Consider the following 24,882-nt stretch of genomic DNA (forward strand, 5'->3'; position numbering starts at 1 on the left):
AGAATTAGCTAATACTGTAAGAAAAAATCTGATAATATTTCTTTAGAAGTTGATTTCCCCCCAAACAAACAAACAAAACAGAAACAAACAAAGAGGGCTACAAATGTAAAAATCTGTGTCCTGCTACACTTCAGAATCATACCCAGCTGAAAACTGTAGTTACATTTGGGCAAGAGGCAAGGTCTAAGAGAACATTAAAAATAAAAATATTATATGAAATGCTTACAGAGGGCTGGGCACGGTGACTCACACCTATAATCCCAGCACTTTGGGATGCCAAGAGGGGGCAGATAACTTGAGGTCAGGAGTTCAAGACCAGCCTGGCCAACATGGTGAAACCCTGTCTGTAGTAAAAGTACAAAAATTATCTGGGTGTGGTGGTAGACACCTGTCATCTCAGCTACTCAGGACACTGAGGCAAGAGAATCACTTGAACCCAAGAGGCAGAGGTTGCAGTAAGCTGAGATCGTACCACTGTACTCCAGCTTGGGCAACAGAGCATGACTCCATTTCAAAAAAAAAAAAAAAAGTGCTTACAGAGAATGCATTCCAGCATCCCTCATGAAATAGAGATGATTTTTTTTTTTTTTTGCCAAGATCCCCTTCAGTCACTGATCTCTATTCCTCCAGTCTGCATGTAGTGATTCCCAACCAACTCACAGGCAATATCTGTTTCACAAAATCTGGATGGTAGAGCTGACAGAGGGTGGCGCTCTAATATGCACCATCACACTAGACACACTGACATTTGCCCACAAGTCCCAAGAGAATTGCCAGATTCCCATTGCCTTCAGATTTTCCTTAAAAAAAAAAAAAAGCAAAGTAATACAGGAAAAGCTGCCAGTCCCATCTCACAATCTTTCCAGAGTCCCTTCCCTGGATTCTTGAATGCTTTGAGATGAACACTGTGTAGACGAAAACACTCAGATTCTTCTTGGCTTGGGTTCTTTCTGTGGCAAAGGCTAGACCTGAACAGCCAGTAACAGATGCTGGAAAATGTTCACCCAAAGCCCAAGACTTTGATTCTTCAAAACCCGCACAGTATGTAGCCTGTGTGAAGTTAATTCAATTATTAGAAACTTAGTATAGAAAAAAATCTAAAGTTGGCTCACTAGAAACAGGTAGTGTGCTTGGCTGTCATGGAGAAAAATGAAAGTAGTGAGTAAATACATATTCAACTGAAACAACCAGGTGCTCACATTGGGACTAATCAAGAGAACAACTCAGTCCACGGAGAACAGAGAAAAGCAAGGCAGAATGACGGTCCACCAGGGAGCAACACAAAGCCAGGGTAACCTCCCCCGCCCAGGGAAGCAGCGGGTGAGTGTGTGACTCTGGGAACCCACGCTTCTCCCGTGGATCTTTGCAACCCTCGAGTCAGAAGATCCCCATGTGAACCCACTCCACCATGGCCTTTAGTCTAACACACAGAGCTAAGTGGGGGCTTAGCAGAGCAGCCACTCGAGCACATGCAGAGACGTGGGAACCTTAGATACTCGGGCTTTCTGAGCTTCCCGGCAAAAGCAGCTGAAACTCTGGCAAAGCAGGAGGTTAGACCCTCATATACACCCTCAGGAAAAGGCTGAATCCAGGGGAATGAGTAGCATTCATCTTCAGGCCCTACTCCCACAACACATCAGGATAAGACCTGCTGATGCGGAACTCCAGCCAGCCACTGGTAGCAACAATTGCACCTCACTGAGCTGGAGCTCCTAGGGTTGGGGGGTGGGGTAGGGGTTGCCATATTGGCTGTGTGGCAGACTTAGCTTTTTCAGCCTTCGGGCTTTGGAAAGACCAAGGTAACCAGGGGCTGAAGTGGATCTCCAGAACAGCACAACTGCTCTATGAAAACGTGACTAGACTGCTTTTTAAAGAAGGTCCCTGATCCTGTTCCTCCTCACTGGGTGGGGCCTCCCAAACCAGGGTCTCCAGCCACCCTCAGTGGTGTTCACTGGCCAACAGAGGTTTCAAACCTCCCTGAGACAGCTCCCAGAGGGAGGGGTGGGCCACCAACTTTGCTGTTTTGGTGACTTAGCTGTCCTGCCCTTTGGGCTTTGGAGAGACATAGGTGACCAGGGGCTGAATCAGACCCCTGGCACAGCACAGCTGCTATACAAAAATGTGATGACAGCTGCTATACAAAAACATGGCCAGACTGCTTTTTAAGCGGGTCCCTGATCCAGTTCCTCTTCACTGTGTGGGGCCTCCCAACCCGGATCTCCAGCTACCTCCTACAGGTGCATTTGAGCTGGCAATGGGTCCATACCTTCCTGGGACAGAGCTCCCAGAGGGAGGGGCAGGCAGCCATGTTTGTGGTTTTGCAGCCTTCGCTGTTGATCCCTCCAGGTACTGGAAAACCCAAGTTGACTAGGAACTGGAGCGGACCCCCAACATACCACACAGCAGCCCTATTAAAAAGTGGCCAAACTGGGCCAGGCATGGTGGCTCATGCCTGTAATCCTAGCACTTTGGGAGGCCTAGGTGGGTGGATTGCCTGAGCTCAGGAGTTCAAGACCTGCCTGGGGAACATGGTGAAACCCCATCTCTACTAAAAATACAAAAAATTAGCCAGGCGTGGCAGCGGGCACCTGTAATCCCAGCTACTCAGGAGACTGAGGCAGGAGAACGCTTGAACCTGGGAGGCGGAGGTTGCAGTGAGCCAAGATTGTGCCATTTCACTCCAGCCTGGGCGAGAGAGCAAGACTCCATCTCAAAAAAATAAATAAAATAAAATAAAATAAAAATAAAAATAAATAAATAAAAAGTGGCCAGACTGTTTGGGAGGCCCAGGCAGGCAGATCACCTGAGGTCAGGAGTTCAAGACCAGCCTGGCCAACGTGGTGAAACTCCATCTCTACTGAAAATACAAAAATTGGCCAGGCGTGGTGGCATGCACCTGTAATCCCAGCTACTCAGGAGGCTGAGGCAGGAGAATCACTTGAACCTGGGAGGCGGAAGTTGCAGTGAGCTGAGATCACGCCACTGCACTCCAACCTGGGTGACAGAATGAGATTCCGTCTCAAAAAAAAAAAAAAAAGTCGCCAGACTATGTGGATGCCTGTTCCCATATCTCCTCACTGGCCACCCCCGACTAGGGCTATTGAGCCAATAGCAGCTCTGTAACTTCCTGGACAGAGCCCCCAGGGGTAACTGAAAGCCTCTATGCCACTGACTCTGCAGTGGAACTGCCCTTGCTACCCTCCAACAAACAAAAGAGCAAAGACCCTAAGTGCCTTATCCACACCACCAACAAGCTGCAGTCAACCCAAGAAGAGGAGGTCACTCCATCTCCCATGGATCCCCTCCAACCCCACTCATTACCAGACAGGGAACCTGCAGGTTGGGCCCATCGCACAGACCCGCTATCCTGAGCTGATTACACTGAGCGACTGCTGACCTGCATCTCTCTGGGGTAGAGTCCCCAGGAGACATGCAAAAGACCTTTAGCCACACCACTACTAAGGTCTCTTCCTCTGCTATCTCCAAGTTAGGGAAGGAACATAAACCCTGAGATTTCCCCAGAGCTGCAGTGGGCAGCCCAAGAGTGCCAAGCTGCGATCTGCAGCCAGAACTCAAGGGGGAGAAAAGCCCACACTTTCAGAGCACTGAGAGGGAACAAGGCTGCAAAGGAGAGGAAACATGGGGAAGCCACACAACCGAGCAAGGATCTACCAACTGACAAATACACCTAAGCACCACCTACTGGATCATACCTCAAAGCCTCAGCACCAAAAATATCTTGCTAAAAACCCCACTTGCTAAAAGAAGTCAGCTTCAAATAAAAACGCTGCAGAAAACCTCGACCCTGTGAGAACATTTAGAAAAGACATCTATTGACTGTACTTAATCTACACTGCACTTAAAGGAACACCCACATGCAGAGATGAGAAAAAACCAATGCAAAGCCTCTCGTAACTCAAGTGGCCAGAGTGTCATATGTCCTACAAGTCACCACACCAGTACTCCTCCAACAAGAGTTCTTAACCAGGCTGAGCTGGCTGGTTTTTGTATTGTCCATGAAAACTTCCCCAACTTTGCTAGAGAGGCCAAAAGTCAAATTCAGGAAATACAGAGAATCTCTGCAAGATTCTACACCAGAAGGTCATCCACAAAACACATAATCATCAGATTTTCCAAGGTCAAAATGGAAAAAAAGAATGTTAAAGGCAGCCAGAGAAAAAAGGTAGGTCACCTACAAAGGGAATCCCATGAGGCTAACAGTAGACCTCTCAGCTAAAACCTTATAAGCTAGGACAGATTGGAAGCTTATATTAAATTTTTTTTTTTTTTTGAAACGGAGTCTCGTTCTGTCGCCCACGCTGGAGTGCAGTGGTGCAGTCTCGGCTCACTGCAAGTTCTGCCTCCCAGGTTCATGCCATTTTCCTGCCTCAGCCTCCCAAGTAGCTGGGATTACAGGCACCCACCACCACGCCCGGCTAATTTCTGGTATTTTTAGTAGAGATGGGTTTCACCGTGTTAGCCAGGATGGTCTCAATCTCCTGACCTCGTGATCCGCCCGCCTTGGCCTCCCAAAGTGCTGGGATTACAGGCGTGAGCCACCGCACCCGGCCATATTCAACATTCTTAAAGAAAAAAAAATTCCTCACCACAGATTTCATATCTGGCCCAACTAACTTCCTAAGTAAAGGAGAAATAAGTTCCTTTTCAAATAAGCAAATGTTGAGTGAGCAATGGAACACTAAGTATAGAAAGGAAATACCACTACCAGCTAATAGAAAAACACACTTAAATACACAGACCAGTAACAGTATAAAGCAACCACAAAAACAAACCAGCATAATAACCAGCTAACAACACAATGACAGGATCAAATCCACACATATCAATACCAACCTTGAATGTAAACTGGCTAAATGCCCCACTTTAAAGGCACAGAGTGTCAAGCTGGATGAAAAAGCAAGATCCCATGAAATGCTGTCTTCAAGAGACCCATCTCACATGTAATGACACCTATAGGCTCAAAATAAAGAAATGGAGGAAAATCAAATAGGAAACAGAAAAAAGCAGATATTGCTATCCTAATTTCAGACAAAATAGATTTTAAACCAACAAAGATCAAAAAAGACAAAGAAGGGCATTACATCATAGTAAAGGGTTCAATTCAACAAGAAGACCTAACTATCCCAAATATATACACACCCAACACAGGAGTACCCAGATTTATAAAGCAAGTTCTTAGAGATCTACAAAGAAACACAGACTCCCACATAATAATAGCGGGAGACTTCAACACCCCACTGACAGTATTAGATCATTGAGGGAGAAAATTAACAAGGATATTCAGAACCTGAACTCAATATTGTACCAAATCAATCTGATAGACCTCTACAGAACTCTCCACCCAAAAACAACAGAATATACATTCTTCTCATCGTCATATGGTGCATAACTCTAAAATCGACCACATAACTGGACATAAAACAATCCCTGGCAAATGGAAAAGAACCAAATTCATACCAAACACACTCTCAGGCCACAGTGCAATAAATGTAGAAGACTAAAAAAATTGCTCAAAACCATGAAATTACATGGAAATTATGCAACATGCTCCTGAATCACTTTTGGGTAAATAATGAAATTAAGGCAGAAATGAAGATGTTCTTTGAAACTAATGAGAACAAAGATACAATATACCAGGATATTTGTGATACAGCTAGGGTAGTGTTAAGAAAGACATTAATTTCTGCATTAAATGCCCACATCAAAAACTTAGAAAGATCTCAAATTAACAATCTAACATCACAACTGAAAGAGAAGCAAGAACAAATCAACCATAAAGCTAGCAGAAGGCAAGAAATAACCAAAATCAGAGCTGAACTAAAGAAAATCACGACATGAAAAACTATTCAAAAGATCAATGAGTCCAGGAGTTTGTTTTTTGAAAACATTAGTAAGACAGACATGCCACTAGCTCGACTAATAAAGATGAAAGGAGAGAAGATCCAAATATACAAAATGAGAAATGATGAGGGAGGTGCTACCACCGACCCCACAGAAATAAAAATAACCATCAGAAACTACTATGAACACCTCTATGTATACAAACTAGAAATCCTAGAAGAGATGGACAAATTTGTGGACACATACACCCTCCTAAGAATGAACCAGAAAGAAATTGATTCCCTGAACAGAACAATAACAAGCTCTGATATTGAATCAGCAATAAACAGTCTACCAACCAATAAAAGCCCAGGAACAGATGGATTCACAGCCAAATTCTACCAGATATACAAGTAAGAGCTGGTACCATTCTTACTGAAACATCTCCAGAAAACTGAAGAGAAGGGACTGCTTCTCAACTCATTCCATGAGACTAACATCATCCTGATACCAAAACCTCGCAGACACACAACAAAAAAAGAGAAAATTTTAGGCCAATATCTTCGATGAATATCAATGGAAAAATCCTAAGCAAAATACTTGCAAACTGAATCCAGCAGCACAGCAAAAGTTAATCCACCATGATCAAGTAGGCTTCACATCCAGGATACAAGCTTGGTTCAACACAGGCAAATCAATAAATGTGATTCATCACATAAATAGAACTAAAGACAAAAACCACAGGATTATCTCAATAGATGCAGAAAAGACTTTTGGTAAAATTCAACGTCTTCTATGTTAAAAACTCTCAATAAACTAGGTATTGAAGGAACATACCTCAAAATAATAGGAGCTATATATGAAAAACCCACAGCCAACATCATACTGAATGGGCAACAGCTGAAAACATTCCCCTTGTAAACCAGCACAAGACAAGGATGCCCTCTCTCACTGTTCTTATTAAACATGTTATTGGATGTCCTAGCCAGAGAAATCAGGCAAGGGAAAGAAACAGAGGGCATCCAAATAGGAAAAGAGGGAGTCAAACTGTCGCTGTTTGAAGATGACATGATTCTATACGTAGAAAACCCCATAATTTTGGCCCCAAAGCTCCTTCAGCTGATAAACAACTTCAGCAAAGTTTCAGGATACAAAATCAATATACAAAAATCACTAGCATTCCTATACACTAACAACAACCAAGCAGAAAGCCAAATCAGGAACACAATCCAATTCACAACTGCCACAAAAAGGATAAAATACCTAGAAATACGGCTAACCAAGGTGGTGAAATATTTCTAGAATGAAAATTACAAAATACTACTCAAAGAAATCAGAAAAGACACAAACAAATGGAAAAACATCCCATGCTCATGGATAGGAAGAATCAACATCTTTGAAATGTCCATGCTGGCCAAAGCAACCTACAGATTCAATGTTATTCTTATCAAACTACCAAAGATACTCTTCATAGAAAAAACTATTTTAAAATTCATATGGAATCAAAAAAGGGGCTCAAATAGCCCAGGCAATCTTAAGCAAATAGAACAAAGCTGGAGGCACCACATTTCCTGGCTATAAACTATACCACAGGGCTACAGTAACCAAAAGAGTGTGGTACTGGTACAAAAACAGGCACATAGACCAATGGAACAGAATAGAGAACCCAGAAATAAAGCCACACACCTATGACCATCTGATCTTCCACAAAGTTGACTAAAACAAACAATAGGGAAAAGACTTTGTATTCAATAAATGGTGCTGGAATAACTGGCTAACCATATGCAGAAGATTGAAGCTGGACCCCTTCCTTAGACTGTATATAAAAATCAACTCGAGATGGATTAAAGACTTAAATGAACAACTCGAAACTATAGAAATCTTGGAAGACAACCTAGGCAATACCATCCTAGACATAGGAACAGGCAAAGATTGCATGACAAAGACACCAAAACCTATTGCAACCAAAGCAAACATTGACAAATTGAATCTAATCAAACTTAAGAGCTTCTTCACAGCAAAAAAGAAAAGAAAGAACAAAACTATCAACAGAATAAACAGATAACCTACAGAATGGGAGAAAATATTTGCAAACTATGCATCTGACAAAGGTCTAATATCCATTATCTATAAGAAACTTAAACAAGTGTATATAAGAGAAAAACAACCCCATTAAAAAGTGGGCAAAGGACATGAATGGACACTTCTCAAAAGAAGACATACATGCAGCCAACAGGCATATGAAAAAAGATCAATATCATTGATCATTAGAGAAATATAATCAAAACCACAATGAGATAACATCTCACACCAGTTAGAATGGCTATTACTAAAAAGTCAACAAATAACAGATGCTGGCAATGTTGCAAAGACAAGGGAACACTTATACACTATTGGTGGGAGTGTAAACTAGTTCAACCGTTGTGGAAAGCAGTATGGCGATTCCTCAAAGAGCTAAAAACAGAACTAGCATTTCCCTCATCCTCAAGGAGCTAAAACCAGAACTACCATTCCACCCAGCAATCCCATTACTGGGAATCCCATTACTGGAGGAATACAAATCATTCTACCATAAAGACACATGCATGTGAATGTTCATTACAGCACAATTCACGATAGCAAAGACATGGAATCAACCTAAATGCCCACCAACTACAGACTGGATAAAGAAAATGTGGTACACATACACCATTAAATGCTATACAGCCATCAAAAAGGACAAGATCATGTCTTTTAGGGGAACATGAATAGAGATGGAGGCTATCATTCTTAGGAAACTAACACAAGAACAGAAAACCAAATACCCCATGTTCTCATTCATAAGTGGGAGCTAAATGATGAGCACTCATGAACACCAACAAGGGAATAATAGATTCTGGGGTGTAATTGAAGGTGGAGTGGGGGATGAGGGAGAGGAACAGAAGAAACAACAATTGCCTACTTGGCTTAATATCTGGGTGATGAAATAATCTGTACAACAAACCCCCATGACATAAGTTTACCTATGCAACAAAGCTTCACATGTATCCCCCCAACCTAAAATTAAAGTTAAAAAAAACTTGGTGTAGCAATGTAGTGTGATAGTTCATTTATTTATTCAACAATTATTTATGGAGAGTCTACCATGTTCCATGACTTGTTCTGGCCACTGTCAATGAAACAAATAAAGAAAATAAAATACAAAATTGATGTCCTCATGGAGCTTAAATTCTAGTGGAAATAGAGTATGAACAATAAACAAACATATAAGTAATTTTTAAAGGGATGGTACATACCATGAAGAAAAAGGAATCAGTTATGGAAAATAGATAGTTAAAATGGAGCATACTACTTTATATAGCATAGCCAAAGAAGGCCTCCTTGAAACGCATTTGAGAATAAATCTGAATGACATAATTGGGCCAGGTGCATGTGTTGAGGAAGTATATAAGAGGCAGAGAGAAGATCAAGTGCAAGGACACCAAGTCAGACCAAGCTCAGGATATCTGACTTATGACCAGGTGGTGAGCATATTTGAGGCAAAGTCTGTAGCTGAGGAAGAGAGCTGTAGCAAAGATGATCATTCACCACGATAACTGTGCCTAAACCACAATAAGCCTTGCAGACCATGTGAAGTCAGTGGAGGGTTCTGAGAAAGGGGAGAACATGACTTTACTAAGGTTTTAATAGAATAATGGCTCTGGAGTTACACTTGGAAGCTTAGCTCCCAAATGCAAAATAGGGATAGGCATGCCTATTCTCCTAAGAATGTTGGAAAAGTTAAACGAGATACTCCCTAGAAAGTTCTCAGCATGTAATAAGCTTTACCAATATAAGCAGTTACTACTGTGGTTGCAATGGTTAGTCATAATAATTTGCTTCCAGGGAACACAGGAGATATAATCTGAGGTACCAAAAGACAAAATTAGATAGGACAGAAATTTATCATTATCTTGAATCTATTTATCTTAAATCTCAAGGGAAGAAACAAACATAAAGAAAAAAGAAAATAATGGAAAGTAAAGATGCATCATGTTTCTTAAAATTAACATAATTTCCTTGGCCAGGTGTGGTGGCTCACACGTGTAATCCCAGCACTTTGGGAGTTCGAGGTGGGCGGATCACAAGGTCAGGAGTTCGAGACCAGCCTGGCCAATATGGTGAAACCCCATCTCTACTAAAAATACAAAAAATTAGCCAGGCGTGGTGGCAAGCACCTGTAGTCCCAGCTACTTGGGAGGCTGAGGCAGGAGAATCACTTGAACCCAGGAGGCAGAGGTTGCAATGAGCCGAGATTGCACCACTGCACTCCAGCCTGGGCAACAGAGTGAGAAACCAGAAATAAATGGGTAATCCCAGCTACTCAGGTACTCAGGAAGGCTGAGGCAGGAGAATTGTTTGAACCCGGGAGGCAGAGGTTGTTGTGAGCCAAGATTGCACCACTGCACTCCAGCCTGGGCAACAAGAGCAAAACTCGGTCTCAAAAAAAAAAAAAAAGAAAAGATAATTTCCTTGATATTTATATTCCTAGAGGATATTTAGCAGGGCATGTTAATAATAGTGGGGCCTATGTAATTTGCATGTTGGGCTTCAAGGACTGAAATACTCCATACTTGAAACCAGGTATCATTTTCACAAAACTTCAGAAAACACTGTTTGAGGAAGGTGAATTGGTGGCATATAATGTTAGAGAACAGACTTTCTGATACCATGGCCTACATAAACTCTTCCTAAACCATTTTGGCCCTATGACTTATTTATTACCCCTGCCAAAGTCACCTACTTTAATTTTCTACATACGTTCCTGCTTTTTAGATGCCTATTTTTCAAACTATATTTCTCTAATTCTCTCAAAAAATAATATATCCTCCAATTCACCTCAATTAGGCAGCATTTTCAATTTTCAATAGCTGGCTCCAATTTCTAATTACACCAATAACTCCTTCACCTCGAGGCCTTTGTAATTCTCTCACTTCAGAACATTTAGTGTTTATACGCCTACCTTACAAGAAAAGCGATCAGGGGTCACCCTTCCAAAAAGAGTCAGTGCCAGGGCTTGTCACAGTAATGGGCTCTGAAGTCGCCAATGCAGGTTTTGCCAATGACCTGCTGAGTGACCTTGGGCAAGCTGCCCAACCTCTCTGGGCTGTGCTTTAAAAATGCTGATTGACCTCACAAGGTTGCTGGGAGGAATTACTACTAATCAACCTGATTGTGAAACATTTAGTCAATATAGAGTACTTTATAAATATTTACTAATATACAATGAGCTCACTGCATCTAAGAGCCAGGAGATTTGCATAACCACAGAAAACTCTGTCTGGACCCCACAATAGCAGTCAACATTGTGCCTGAAATGGTTTTTTAAATCTTATATATTATCAGCATTCTGGGATGATTTCGGTTTTTTATCCTAAGTGAGGAGAATGAACTAGATCAGGGAAGCTTTAGAAGTCACTTACAAGTCAAAGAAAACAATGATCTAGTCCATTAAAGTGGCATAATTATATGCAGAAAACAAATTATTATGACATTCATAATAAAGTGTGTGTACAACTGAGCTTATCACTCAAGAAACCAAGTGAACTAAGGACAATATATGACAGACACTGTTTTGGTTACTTTGGATACAATACTCAATAAAACAAGCAAGGATCCTACTCTTCAAGAGCCTGCATTTTAGCATAAGAGACAATCAATCCAACCAATCTGACTGTTGACATTTTCTTGTTTACATATGTACTCAGATGAAAACAAAACTGTGTTGCAGTAAAAAGTGACAGTACTTTACATTTGATGACCTTGGAAAACCTCTCCTAGCAGATGACATAAGCTGGGAGGCACATGGCTGTGCACTGGAAACAGAACAAACTACAAGTGCAAATGCCTTTAAGATGTATTAGAGGAACCACAAGACAGTCATATGCTTATAGTTCAGACGGTGATGACTAGAAAGAGGCAGGCAGTTGCTAGATCACGTATGGCCTTTATTGGAGTACAGGATAAGACATTTGGATTTTATTATGTGTAAAGTAAGAAATCATATGAGGGATTTCAGCAAAGACATATCATGAACTGACAACATTTTTGTGTTTTTTCTGCTTGTTTTGCTTTGTTTTTATTTTTTAATGTATTATTTTATTTAAATAGCTTTTGGGGTAAAAGTGATTTTTGGTTGCATGGATGAATTATATAGCGGTGAATTCTGAGATTTTAGTGCACCCATCACCTGGGTAGTGTACATCGTACCCAATACGTAGTTTTTTATCCCACATCCCCCTTCCACTCTCCTCCTCCTGAGTCTCCAGAGTCCATTTTATCACTCTGTATGTCTTTGCTTACTCATAGCTCAGCTCCCACTTCTAAGTGAGAACAAACGGTATTTGATTTTCCATTCCTGAGTTACTTCACTTAGAATAATGGCTTCAAGCTCTATTCAAGTTGCCACAAAAGATATTGTTTCCTTCCTTTTTATGGCTGAATAGTATCCCAGGATGTATATATACCACGTTTTCTTTATCCATTCGTTGGTCAGTGGGCACTTATGTTGGTTCCATGTCTTTGCAATTGTGAATTGAGCTGCAATAAACATACATGTTCAGGTATCTTGTTCATATAATGACTTATTTTCCCTTGGGTAGATACTCAGTAGTGGGATTGCTGGATTGAATGGTAGATTTACTCTCAGTTCTTTAAGGAATCTCCATACTGTTTTCCATAGAGGTTGTACAAATTTACATTCCCACCAGCAGTGTATAAGCGTTCCCCTTTCACCATATTCATACTAACATCTATTGTTTTTTGACTTTTTAATAATGGCCATTGTTGCAGGAGTAAGGTGTTATCTTACCATGGCTGTAATTTGCATTTCCCTGGTGATATTGAGCATTTTTTCATGTTTATTAGCTATTTGTATATCTTCTTTTGAGAAATGTCTGTTCATGTCATTTGCCCACTTTTTGATGGTATTATTTCTGACAACATTTTTGAGGGATAATTTTGGCTGCTGAATAAAATACAGAGTGACAGAAGTAGAAAAAGTAGGGAGGCCAGTTAAGTGACACTGATGGCTTGGACTAGGGACTTATGCTAGGAGTCATTTCTGGGCTTTATTTTTTCAGTTAGGAGTATAGGCTATGATCAGTTATCATTTGCCTCAAAATATAGTCATTTATAATTATTTTGATTTATAAATCAAAATAATTTCTATTTATTATTTATATTTTCTAGTTATGACTTTTAATATTTCTTCAATTTAAGCTCTTCTTCAGCATAATTCTGATTCAGTGCCTGAACCTTCCTTTTCACTTAGAACCAGGCAATTGCTGAAGCATTCTGGTTAAAGATACACTGTAAGGAATGCAGCTTCTCTGACATTGAGGGCGCGGTTTTTATAATCAACATGAATAATTCAGCAGTGCATTATTTGTGCTTTATTATTGTTTGCTTCAACTTGAACTGTAGTTAGAAGTTATGAACTTTTTTTTTAATCAGCAGAAGCTCATCCATCACTCTGCATCCCTTGCATCTACCAGGTTATAAAATTCACTATTTATAGCAACAATTGCGATGTGAAATGAGAATCAGTATTTTGTTCCTCTGATACCTAACCTTAGGTCAAGCACAGGATCTAGAGATGGATTTTTACAGGAAGTGAAATGAAAGCACACTGCTGGAGATTAATGCCAGTCTGGTTGCTCTAGGGAATGCCCTCTCTGGCTGCTTCCCAGAAGAAAAATGGTAAGTAATGTGGATTGTATGTCAAATCTACACAGTGGGTGGCAGTGGAATGACGGACAGGATGCCCAAGTGGTCTGGCATCAGAGTCCATGAGCCTAATTTTCTCAAAATGAGTGATGATCTCCTAAAATCCTGTTCAGAGATTGCTTGGGAAAGAAGTCTCCAGGACTCATTACTTAATTCGTTCAGTCTTCAGCTCTTTATTATATCATTTATGTTGTTAGCTCTGCTCTAAACTTCTTTCCCATGTCACAATATAACTTCTCGTGTCTCTTGCAAATACTACCAACATGAATAGCCACTTTAATCAGTCCTTCTCTTCTGATAACTGAAGAGGGGGCATTTTCATGTCATTAAGAGGTTTTTTCAGAGTAAGCTTCTGGAGGACAAAGACTGTGCCTGTACTGTTTCCTTTGTAAAGTGCCTAGCATAAAGTCTTTACTAATTAGACATTTACCTAATGATTCTGATAATTATGAAGCTAATGAGAATCACTGGTTATTTTTATACCTCTGAAAACATTTCAACTCTTTTGTGCTTTAATGTCTGAAAATCTTTAGGGAGAACTTTTCTTTTGCCACAGCTTGATTTTTCTACAAATTATGAACAATACAAAATCTTCTCAAAAATTCAGGGATCAAACTCAGGCTGGTTAATGGGCTGTAAGAGAAAAATGCTAGCATCAGTCTACTTTTGAACAAGTAGAACTCTATTCAAAGAATAAAGTGGGAATGGGCACACTAGCTCATGCCTGTATTCCTAGCAGTTTGGGAGGTCGAGCAGGGAGGATTGCTTGAGGCTAGGAGTTTCAGACCAGCCTGCACAACATAGAAAGACCCTGTTTCTACAAAAAAAAAAATTAGTTGTGCATGGTGGTGCAATGCCTGTAGTTCCAGTTTCTCAGTGAGTTATGATTGTGTCACTGCACTCCAATCAGGGTGACAGACCGAGTCCATCTCAAAACAGAACAAAACAAAAAACTGAATATAGGCCCAGCAAAAACATGGGTAATGTTTGGTGACAGGTGGGAAATAAAATAAATATTTGACCTACGTATCTAGGATTTGTGGGATTCGAATTCTAGATTAGAATCTGGGAATATGCCGGTCCTGACAGAATCCAGTCCCTCGGGGAAGCCACACTCAGTGTACAGCTTCAGTGAGGAATTACTCCTACAGATGAATCACCTTTGAAATGCAGAACCGTATTCTGGTTCTGTGGTGCAGAGAAGAGAGGCAATGGGAGGAGACATGCCACAAAAAAGCAGGCAGATTCTTCCATAATACCTGGCAGGGTATTCTTACAGACATAGTGTCCCACTTTTCAGAGGGTGGAAACAACTCTCAGAGTAGTAAGGAGGGTTCCAAATGTCAGTTTGTCTGACTCCAAAGTCCTTAGTCATAATCTCTACCCGATACTATCTCTCTAACATACTATCCAAGAGTGAATTGAATATTGCTGGTTTCTCTACTCCTACTCCTAGTCTATGAATGTCCCCATGGTATAAATGGCCAGGTCATACCATACATGACTTCAGGTCTCTGTTTCTGGCAAGGTAGTAAATTTTTATGAGCGGACCAAGAGCAGACAGGGCTTTTTTTTTTTTTTTAAGTCCAGATACTACAAAATTCCCTCACCTTGCCACTGTTTCTCAGCTGGGGTACCACTGTCTTCTGGGGGACTCCTTGTGGGAGGTTATAAACTTGTCACAATAATTCGGGATATACATACTGCAGGGGGCCTGGGAATATGCTATGTTCTGAATGTTTGTGTTCACCCTAAAATTCATATGTTGAAACCTAATTACCAATACAATGGTATTAGGAGCTGGAGACCTTGGGGCGGTGATTAGGTTATAAGGGCAGAGACCTCATTACTGGGATTAACACCCTTATTAAGGGGCTGCCTTGCCCCTTTCTGCCATGTGAGGATATCATCTATGAACCCCATAAAGAGCCTTTGCCAGACACCAAATCTGCCAGTGCCTTGATCTTAAACTTCCCAGCCTCCAAAACTGAGAAAAAAATTTGTTTTTTATAAACTACCTAGTATATATATATATATATATATATATATATTTTATAGCAGCCTGAATGGACTAAGACAGGAAGTTGATGTCATCACACAAAATTTTTATATGTCCCTCTGGGTTTTTGTGTAATTTTGTGTAAAATTTATATGTAATTTTACATATAAAAATTTCTAGGTTTTTTGCATTTTTTACATATACTAATGTTTACAGAATGTGACTCCCATGTAAGTGAGGAAATACTGTATTCTTTTTTAAAAAATTTCCCTGGGCGCAATGACTCGTACCTGTAATCCCAGCACTTTGGGAAGCTGAGGCTGGCGAATCATGAGGTCAGGAGATTGAGACCATCCTGGCTAACACGGTGAAACACCGTCTCTACTAAAAATACAAAAAAAAAGTAGCCGGACATGGTGGTGGGCGCCTGTAGTCCCAGCTACTCGGGGGGCTGAGGCAGGAGAATGGCGTGAACCCGGGAGGCAGAGCTTGCAGTGAGCCAAGATGGCACCACTGCACTCCAGCCTGGGCGACAGAGTGAGACTCCATCAAAAAAAAAAAAAAAATTCATTGATAACTTACCAAGAGTGAGCAATGGTGAGCATGCCGTTTAAGAAAGTCACATAACTGATGACCACACTGCTCACGGAACTTGCCAACCCTACTCACTTGTATCAGTCTTCACAGCTCTTCTGACAACTTTATTACTTTTGGCAGTGTAATGTCTAAACACTCACATACTAAAATACATTTTTAATCCATTCAGTTATTATATATTACACTCTTTTTATCTCTACATTGTATTACAGTTAGGGGATTATTTAGTTATTTTTAACCACATGTGTAGGTGAGTGTAAGTAGGCAGAATTTTCCCTCCTCCTCTCCTAAAGATGTTCTTCCCTAATGAATAGGTTAGATGACATGACAAAAGGGACTTTGTAGATGTAAGTGTGGTTACTGATCAGTTGTCCTTAAAATCAGGAGATTATCCTGGATTATCCAGGCCGACCTGATATAATCTCATGTGCTCCTAAAGGCAGAAGAAAAAGAGAGATTTAAAGTGTGAGAAGGACAGCCCCTGCCATTGCTGAAGATGGAGAGGGCCAAGTGAGGAGAGCTGTGGGTGGTGTGAAGGAGCAGAGAACAAGCCTTAGCTGTCAGCCAGCAAAGGCACAGTGAACTCAGACCTACAGCCTTAGGACCTGGATGTGCCAATAACCTGAATCAGCACAGAAGAGAATGCCTCCCCAGAGCCCCCAGATGGGAGTCCAGCCAGCTGATACCTTAACATCAGCCTTGTGAAACCCTAAGCAGTGAGCAAGCTGAGCTCATCTGGACTTCTGATCTACAGAATTGTGTGAGGTAATATATGGATACACTTTTAAGATGCTAAATTTATGGTAATTTGTTAGGAAGCAATAGAAAGCTAATGTAGTTTCATGTGAGATATTAGTTCTGCTAAAGCTAATAACGACAGCACAAGGTGGTTGGTGGCTAAGGTGCCTGGAACGCAAAGTGTTCACAGTATCATTATTTGGAACCTGGGACAGGTATTGATCAGGCTTCAATAATAGTTCCAAATGAAGTCTTTAGGTATGAGAGTTCCATTTGACTTGTTGAATAAGCATGCTCTGTCCTTCCTGATAGTCAAAGGTACAAAAAGAATTGTTGCACTTCAGTCTTATTACATTTAAAGATACTATGAAATAAAGACTAGCTTTGGTGCTAAAAAACTATAAAATCATCTTTTTTGTGTTAAAAGAAAAAATACCTATGAACATATTTAGGAAAACAAAATTTTTCAGTTGAAGAGTTCCTAAATATGTCACTGAAGGGCATTAAAGGGCCAATTTTCTAAAGGAGAGTCTGTCTGGCATTTATGAAGTGGGGAGAAGGATACAGTCTGTTAAAGATTCAGATTCATGGGTTTCTTTCCCAAAGCTTCTAAACCAACAGGTCTTGGAAGTGCTCAGAAATCTATAGTCTAATAAGCTTCCTAGAATTAGTACAATCTACTTTGAGAAAAGGTTTAGGTAAGGGAATTATATGAAGAGTGTTTGAAACTCCAGAGGATAAACAAATAGGCTAAAAATAACCTAACAAACAATGAAGTAGAAGAGAAATGGAAGAAGAGTATCAGTATAACTCTTTGTGCAAACTCAGCTACTACCCTAAGAAACAAGCAGTAGGCCATTTCGAAAGCAGAATAAGCCGGGCACGGTGGCTCACGCCTGTAATCCCAGCACTTTGGGAGGCCGAGGCGGGCGGATCACAAGGTCAGGAGATGGAGACCATCCTGGCTAACATGGTGAAACCCCATCTCTACTAAAAATACAAAAAAAATTAGCTGGGTGTGGTGGCAGGCGCCTGTAGTCCCAGCTACTTGGGAGAATGGCGTGAACCCAGGAGGTGGAGCTTTCAGTGAGCTGAGATCACGTCACTACACTCCAGCCTGGGCAACAGAGCAAGACTCTGTCTCAAAAAAAAAAAAAAAAAAAAAAGAAGCAGAATAAATCTCCTCAAAGGACATGACAAAGAGCAATGACTTTAGAACAGAGAGGTTATGCGGTCCAGTAAAATGACTTTGGGCTTTAGGGACAGCTAGACCTTCATTAACATCCTTACTGATTCACTCACAAAGTCACTACAGGAATTTTCTCCATCTTTTTAAGTTTTAGTGTCTTCCTCTGCAAAATAGGAACAGCAGTGCCTAATCCTTAAGTAAGTGTTGAAGATTAAAATAACTATCGTCATTTTGGCAAACTGTAGCTATTTAATAAATACCTATTCTTTTGTCTGCTCTCTGTTAGAAACAAAAGCTCCAAAGGTGACAAATATATTCCAAATTGACTAATCCCACTCCTGGTCTTTAACCTTTTCAGAGAAAAAAGCTTGCATCCCATTATTTTTTAAAGGCCAGAAAAGGAAATTCATTAACATCTCTTAGTCATTTGTTCCAGTAACATCATTTATACCAGAAATGCCTTCTTCAAATCCCACCTAATAAAACTGGAACCTATTATCTATCTACAACATGTACTCATGAAGTAGAGAAGAAATTAAAATGAGACAGCTAATGTCACTAGAGACCAACGGGCTTAACAGCAAGAGCTAAGAAGATTCAAATTTGTTGCCACCTTACTAAGCCACCATTTTTAGAATAGATTTCTTACCCGATATCCTATTTATCCCCTGTGAATTGGTAATAATTATGGTAACAATCCCCCTTTGATATGCTTGTATTCATTCAACCAACATGTACTGAACATTCTATTGTATGCCATAGGCCCTGCAAAATACTGTGGGCACAGAAATGAATAGAAGTTGGTTGGTTGCTCCCTAGGATCTCTGAGGGCAAGCTTGGCTAAAGTGAAATCTAAGTTACTACCTCTTTCAGATGCTCCACGGAGGCAATAAATACCTAAGTTCTCTGTGTCTGGATTTAGTACAGTTGCTTCTGAGTTATTATTTGTCATTCCCAGCTTCACCCAAGATACCTGGAGAATGAACTGCAATTCCCCTGGTTCCACCATTATGCTGTGAATCTGAGCATACTATTGGGAATATGGTCTACCAGAGGTATCCAATCTTTTGACTTCCCTAGGCCATATTGGACGAAGAAGAATTGTCTTGGGCCACACATAAAATACACTAACATTAATGATAGCTGATGAGCTTAAAAAAAAAAAATCACCAAAAAAGTCTCATAATGTTTTAAGAAAGTTTATAGATTTGTGTTGGGATGCATTCAAAGCCATTCTGGACTGTGAGTTGGGCAAGCTTGGTCTAGGTCAACATTTGGCAAACTTTTTTCTGTAAAGGTTCGGGCACTACATATTCTTGGCTTTGTGGGTCATAGAGTCTCATTTGCAATTTTTCAACTCTCCCATTAGAGCATGGACAATATGTAAACAGATAGGTGCAGCTGTGTTCCAATAAAACTTTATTTATAATCAGGTGGTAGGCAGAATTTGGCTGTTGTTGACCCTAGTCTAGATACTTTAGGCTAAAATTCCTAGTTGCTGACTTTTTAGCTTTTTAACCTGAGATTACACACGCACACTCACACTCACACACACACATACACACACAATCTATTTGTGTGGAGGCGGGGACAAAAACACAAAAACAAAACCAAAACAGTGGTTTTCCTTACAAAGGGATTCACTAGAGAATTTTAATAAGAATGAGATTAACCATGAATTACATTGGATGGAGACGCAGCACAGGCTTGGATTTGGGGCTCTGCACTTGACAACCTCCTGATGATTGTTGAGGTGGAACACTGAATGACTCCATTTCAAAAACAAACACAAAACCCCAGCAAAACTTTCATAGAATCAGGTTCCATTCTGATCACACTGAATGACCATCCCCACATACACATTATATAACATTTCGACTACAAAAGCCGTATGATTGCAGAAATGATTGTTGAAAGACCTAGAAGAGGTTCTACAGAAGGTGTCCCAGCATCTTTGGAGATATCCATCCAGTATGTTTTCCTCACCATTTGTAGAAAGCCACTGGCATTTCAGAGTCAGATGGTTTTCAATTTGATTTGATTTTAGAAGACCCACTTGTAGCCGACCTGAGATACACGTATGACCAACATAAGCATGTTATAGGCCTTCAAAGTGCTTCTGAATGACGGGTGAGGTTTATAAGTTTAGCATATGTTGTCAGGAATGTTAATAAAATCTTCATAGATTTTTTCTTTTACCCTTCGATCTTGCAGATTCTACGCCATGCTCAAAGACTGAATGGGGGCCATAGGAGCTAAAGTGCAACATCATTTAAAAATATAATTAGCAAATGTATTTTTTTTTTTTTTTGAGACGGAGTCTTGCTCTATCACCCAGGCTGGAGTGCAGTGGCACGATCTCGGCTCACTGCAAGCTCCGCCTCCTGAGTTCACGCTATTCTCCCGCCTCAGCCTCCCGCATAGCTGAGACTACAGGTGCCTGCCACCTGGCTAATTTTATTGTTGTATTTTTAGTAGAGACGGGGTTTCACCATGTTAGCCAGGATGGTCTCGATCTCCTGACCTCGTGATCCACCCGCCTCAGCCTCCCAGAGTGGTAGGATTACAGGCGTGAGCCACCACGCCCGGCCTTCAAATCTATTAACCAATGGTCTTGGTTGTATATCTATTGCCAGCTCTACTCATTTCTTTGACTTAAGCTTCTCTGACTCACCAGGGAAAAGAAAACGATGATGTTTCTGATCTTGCACAGGTAAGTTGACCTTTCATACAGTGTCACAGCAGGAAGAACCTGGCTTGTTCACTATTTTTATATGTTGGCATCTGCAGTCCGGTACAGTCTTGCTCAAAATTCATAATACACCCATAGCTAGAGTTCTGAGCCAATAGATTGTTATTTTTTTTGCTGAGAACATAAGTCATTTCTCAAGCCTTAATATATATCTACAACCTTGCTTCCTCTCCCTAATTCTGTAAACTACTTAGCATCTGGGAAAGCTGTAAAAACTTACTCTGTCTTCTCTTATTTCCTCTTTTCCTCTCTCCTTCTTTCTTTCTCTCATTGTAACTATATTCATGGCACTCCCGCAATGTTCTGTGAGAACTAAGGCTCTTGGATTCCACTGATATGAAAATTTAAGCATTAAATTCCTTTTTACAAGATTTTGAATAGTCTAGCCACAGCCTATTGTGGAAAAAACAACTTCCTCTCAAATAGAGTGCTGAGATAACGTAAGATTATCTAAGCTATAACCACCTTTCTCTGGAAGCATCAAAGATTGTCTTTTGTCTTATATTCTGGGAAAGCTTTCCCACTCAGCAAATGAGGCACCTTAACCTTCACATTCTATTTTTTTTTTCTTTTAAATTTATGGACACCATTTAGGGAGATTTCAATTCCCATTAATAATATGTGCAATTGATCTACATTTAAGAGAATTTAATCATGTCTTGGTGACAAATTTAGCTTAAAGCAGAGCTTCACTTAGGACTTCCAAGTAAATTTCCATTGAAAAGGTCAATTTCTAACATTTGTCAGTTAAAGCCCATACCAGACAAATTAAATTCTCCTCCACTTGTCTGCTGCGTGAACACTTTCAATGCTGAATATCACCAGCGGTTGTCAATTAGGAAAACTGCCACCCTGCCCAAAAAAAATCATAATTGAGAAGTTTTTAAAAGAAGACTTGAATGTTTATCCAATAGTTAGAATTTTTTTTCATACTAAAAAGTGATCTATCTCATAGTGGCAATGAAAAAACAAAATAAAACACTGTCTTACTGGATTTTGAGTAAAATCAATTCAATGGTATAAGTATGTGAACATCTATTACTAGGAAAGAAGTCAGGGCAGGGCCTAAACTTTTACTGAAGCTTGAGTTTCACTGGGATACAAAAGCACCTGAGCAATTAGAAATTAACATGTAATCATCAAGGATAAAGACTGATAAAATCATGGATCCCTTGTTATACTGAAGACAGTGTGTGATTTTGGATAGTAGAAAATCTATGTTGTTTAGAATTTCTGTGGAAGGCTTTACAAAACAAGAAGGATATTGTAAATAGCCAATTTAGACAGATAAATAGAGGCTAAGTGCTACAATAATCATATAATTTTTTCTTCTTGCTTCTCTGTATTTTCTAATTTTCAACTGTATGTATGATTTTTTTTAGAAATATAATAAAGTTTTTAAGGAGAAAATTGGGGGGGGGGAACTTGAAGAAAGGGGAAAGAAAAAATTAGTTTTCAATTTCCTCTAGTCAGCCTCAGATCAAATAGAACTGGATGTTCTGGTTTCTCTCCTTTTTGGATCTCAATTATTGAATGCTTCATAATTTAGTCTGAAGAAAAGAATTCATGGCCAAACATCTAAAAATGATTTTTGCCCATGAGGTCAGCAGCAAAGGAAAGAGATTTGGCAGGTCTTACAAGAACTCTTCTTTCATTGTTGCAGGAAACGTGAACAACTAACAGGGCTATCTGGAGGACAGTGAAGGAACAGGCAGCCTCAGAATAGGGGAAGCAAGGATGCTCAATGTATGATTTACATGCGTATCTTCTAATATAGTGTAAGAAAAGGTAATGGTAGCCATGTGATATTGTTTGGCTGTGTCCCCCCCCAAATCTCATCTTGAATTGTAGCTCCTATAATTCCCATGTCTTATGGGAGGGACCAGGTGGAAGATAATTAAATCACGGGAATGGTTTCCCCCATACTGCTCTCATGGTAGTGAATAAGTCTCACGAGAACTGATGGCTTTATAAGGGGAAATGCCTTTTGCTTGGCTCTCATTCCCTTTTTGCCTGTCACCACATAAGACGTGCCTTTCACCTTCCCCCATGATTGTGAGGCCCCTCTAGCCATGTGCAACTGTGAGTCCATTAAACCTCTTTCTTGGCCAGGTGCAGTGGCTCACTCCTGTAATCCCAGCACTTTGGGAGGCCAAGGTGAGCGGATCACCTGAGGTCAGGAGTTCCAGACCAGCCTGGCCAACATGGTGAAACCCCATTTCTACTAAAAGTACAAAAATTAGCCTGGCATGGTAGCAGGCACCTGTAATCCCAGCTACTCAGGAGGCTGAGGCAGGAGAAGCACTTGAACCCAGGAGGTGGAGGCTGCTGTGAGCCAAGATCACACCACTGCACTACAGCCTGGGTGACAAGAGTGAGACTCTGTTTCAAAACAACAACAACAACAACAACAAAACCCAAAACCCTCTTTCTCTGTATTGATTACCCAGTCTCAAGTATGTGTTTATCAGCAACATAAAAATGGACTAATACACCATGGTGGATTATTTTCTACATTATTTTCCTGGATTTCTTCCAGAAATTAGTAATTCTTAGTAATTCTTAGAATCAAACATCACACACACACACACTCTCTGTTATCTTGGGTTGAGTGACAACACTAACTAAGCTGTCCCAAGATTATAGAGGAGGCTGTCTTTTCCAAGTACCCTGTGATTACTATCGATCTGTTCAGCTCATTGCAACTCAACCTTACCAGGCTGGTCAGGAAAGAAGGAAGAAGGATGGATGTTATTAAAGATCCTGAATACCTACTCTGCAGGTATCATTCATTAGAAGTAAACTAAATGTACCAACATTCACACATACAGAAAAGCTATGCAGCAGATCCATTCTCTTTCTAGAATCCAGACCCTATAATGCCATAAAGCTCAGACAGATTTAAGTGGAAGTTTCTACTGTGAAAGTGTAACATGGAAGTTCAAATGTATTAGACGATACAAATAACTGAGCAAAGGAAAGGCTAGAGTAGTTGTCTTCAGCAACCAGCAGTTATTTATTAAGCTATCATGTGCCCAGGACTATGCCAGGCACTAAGCAGAGAATGTTTAGAAAAAGAAGACCAGGGACCTAGAGACTGTGACCTTGAAAATATAATGGTCTTCATAAATGAGAGTTGATGGCTTCTGAAACAGAGTAGAAATATCAATTACAACAAGTCTTACCAACAGATTCATAAACACCAACAGAGTACCAGTGAAAGCACACATCAGTCACATGAGACAGTATTAATGTATTATCACTAATTAATATTAATATATTGTTTAACAACTGGCCATAATTGTGCTTTTTCAATACATGTAATAACATTCAACAAATTGTTAAAACTAAGCAACTGTTGATACATTAAAATGAAAATGACATTTAAAATATGTTAATGAATATTATTTTGAAACAATATCACTATTTGAACTTAGCAATAATTCACATCTTTACAGTATTTTGGGTTAAAAAATAGAAATCAAGATGGCAAAATCATGCCTGACATTCAGTAATTTTAGATGGATTAGAGAGTTATCAGAAAATGAAAAATGTTATTACTTTGGTATAGAGACTATAAGTTCAAATATAACCTCAGGAGGCTGAGGCAGGAGAATCACTTGAACCCAGGAGGCAGAGGTTGCAGTGAGCGGAGATCACGCCACTCTACTCCAGCCTACACGATGGAGCAAGACTCCATCTCAAAAATAAATAAATAAATATAACCTCCTAATAAAAAAGCATATATAAAGTGCTTAGAAAATAGCCTTTCAATAAGTGGTAATTATTAGCAGTAAGACAAATAATTAGCTTAAAACATACTCCTGCACTGACAGTTACAGAATCACTCTTAAAAGGATCTAGTATTGAAGACTTTGGAAATTTGCTTTCTTAAGCTACATTCTGTAATGTTTACATGACTATTATTTTTTCATTACAAATACATTGTTTTCTAACCTGTGGGCAACTTATTGATATACACAGTATTCTGTATTCTTTCTGTTGCATACAGATACACTC

General features: G+C 40.0%; 1 protein-coding gene across 16 annotated transcripts in view, besides 1 other annotated feature; it reads right to left on the reverse strand.

Annotated features, from left to right (window-relative positions):
* Positions 1-24,882, reverse strand: part of SORCS1 (sortilin related VPS10 domain containing receptor 1) — a 607,476-nt gene that overhangs the window by 289,349 nt on the left and 293,245 nt on the right. The gene's annotated exons all lie outside the window — the stretch shown is intronic.
* Positions 1,032-1,091: an enhancer, noted in NCBI's record as "active region_3990". NCBI's record gives its function as "activates an Ori minimal core promoter by ATAC-STARR-seq in GM12878 lymphoblastoid cells {active_cell/tissue: GM12878}" and the evidence as "EXISTENCE:reporter gene assay evidence [ECO:0000049][PMID:35858748]".

Source organism: Homo sapiens, chromosome 10 (genome assembly GCF_000001405.40).
Source record: "Homo sapiens chromosome 10, GRCh38.p14 Primary Assembly".
Taxonomy (NCBI): domain Eukaryota; kingdom Metazoa; phylum Chordata; class Mammalia; order Primates; family Hominidae; genus Homo; species Homo sapiens.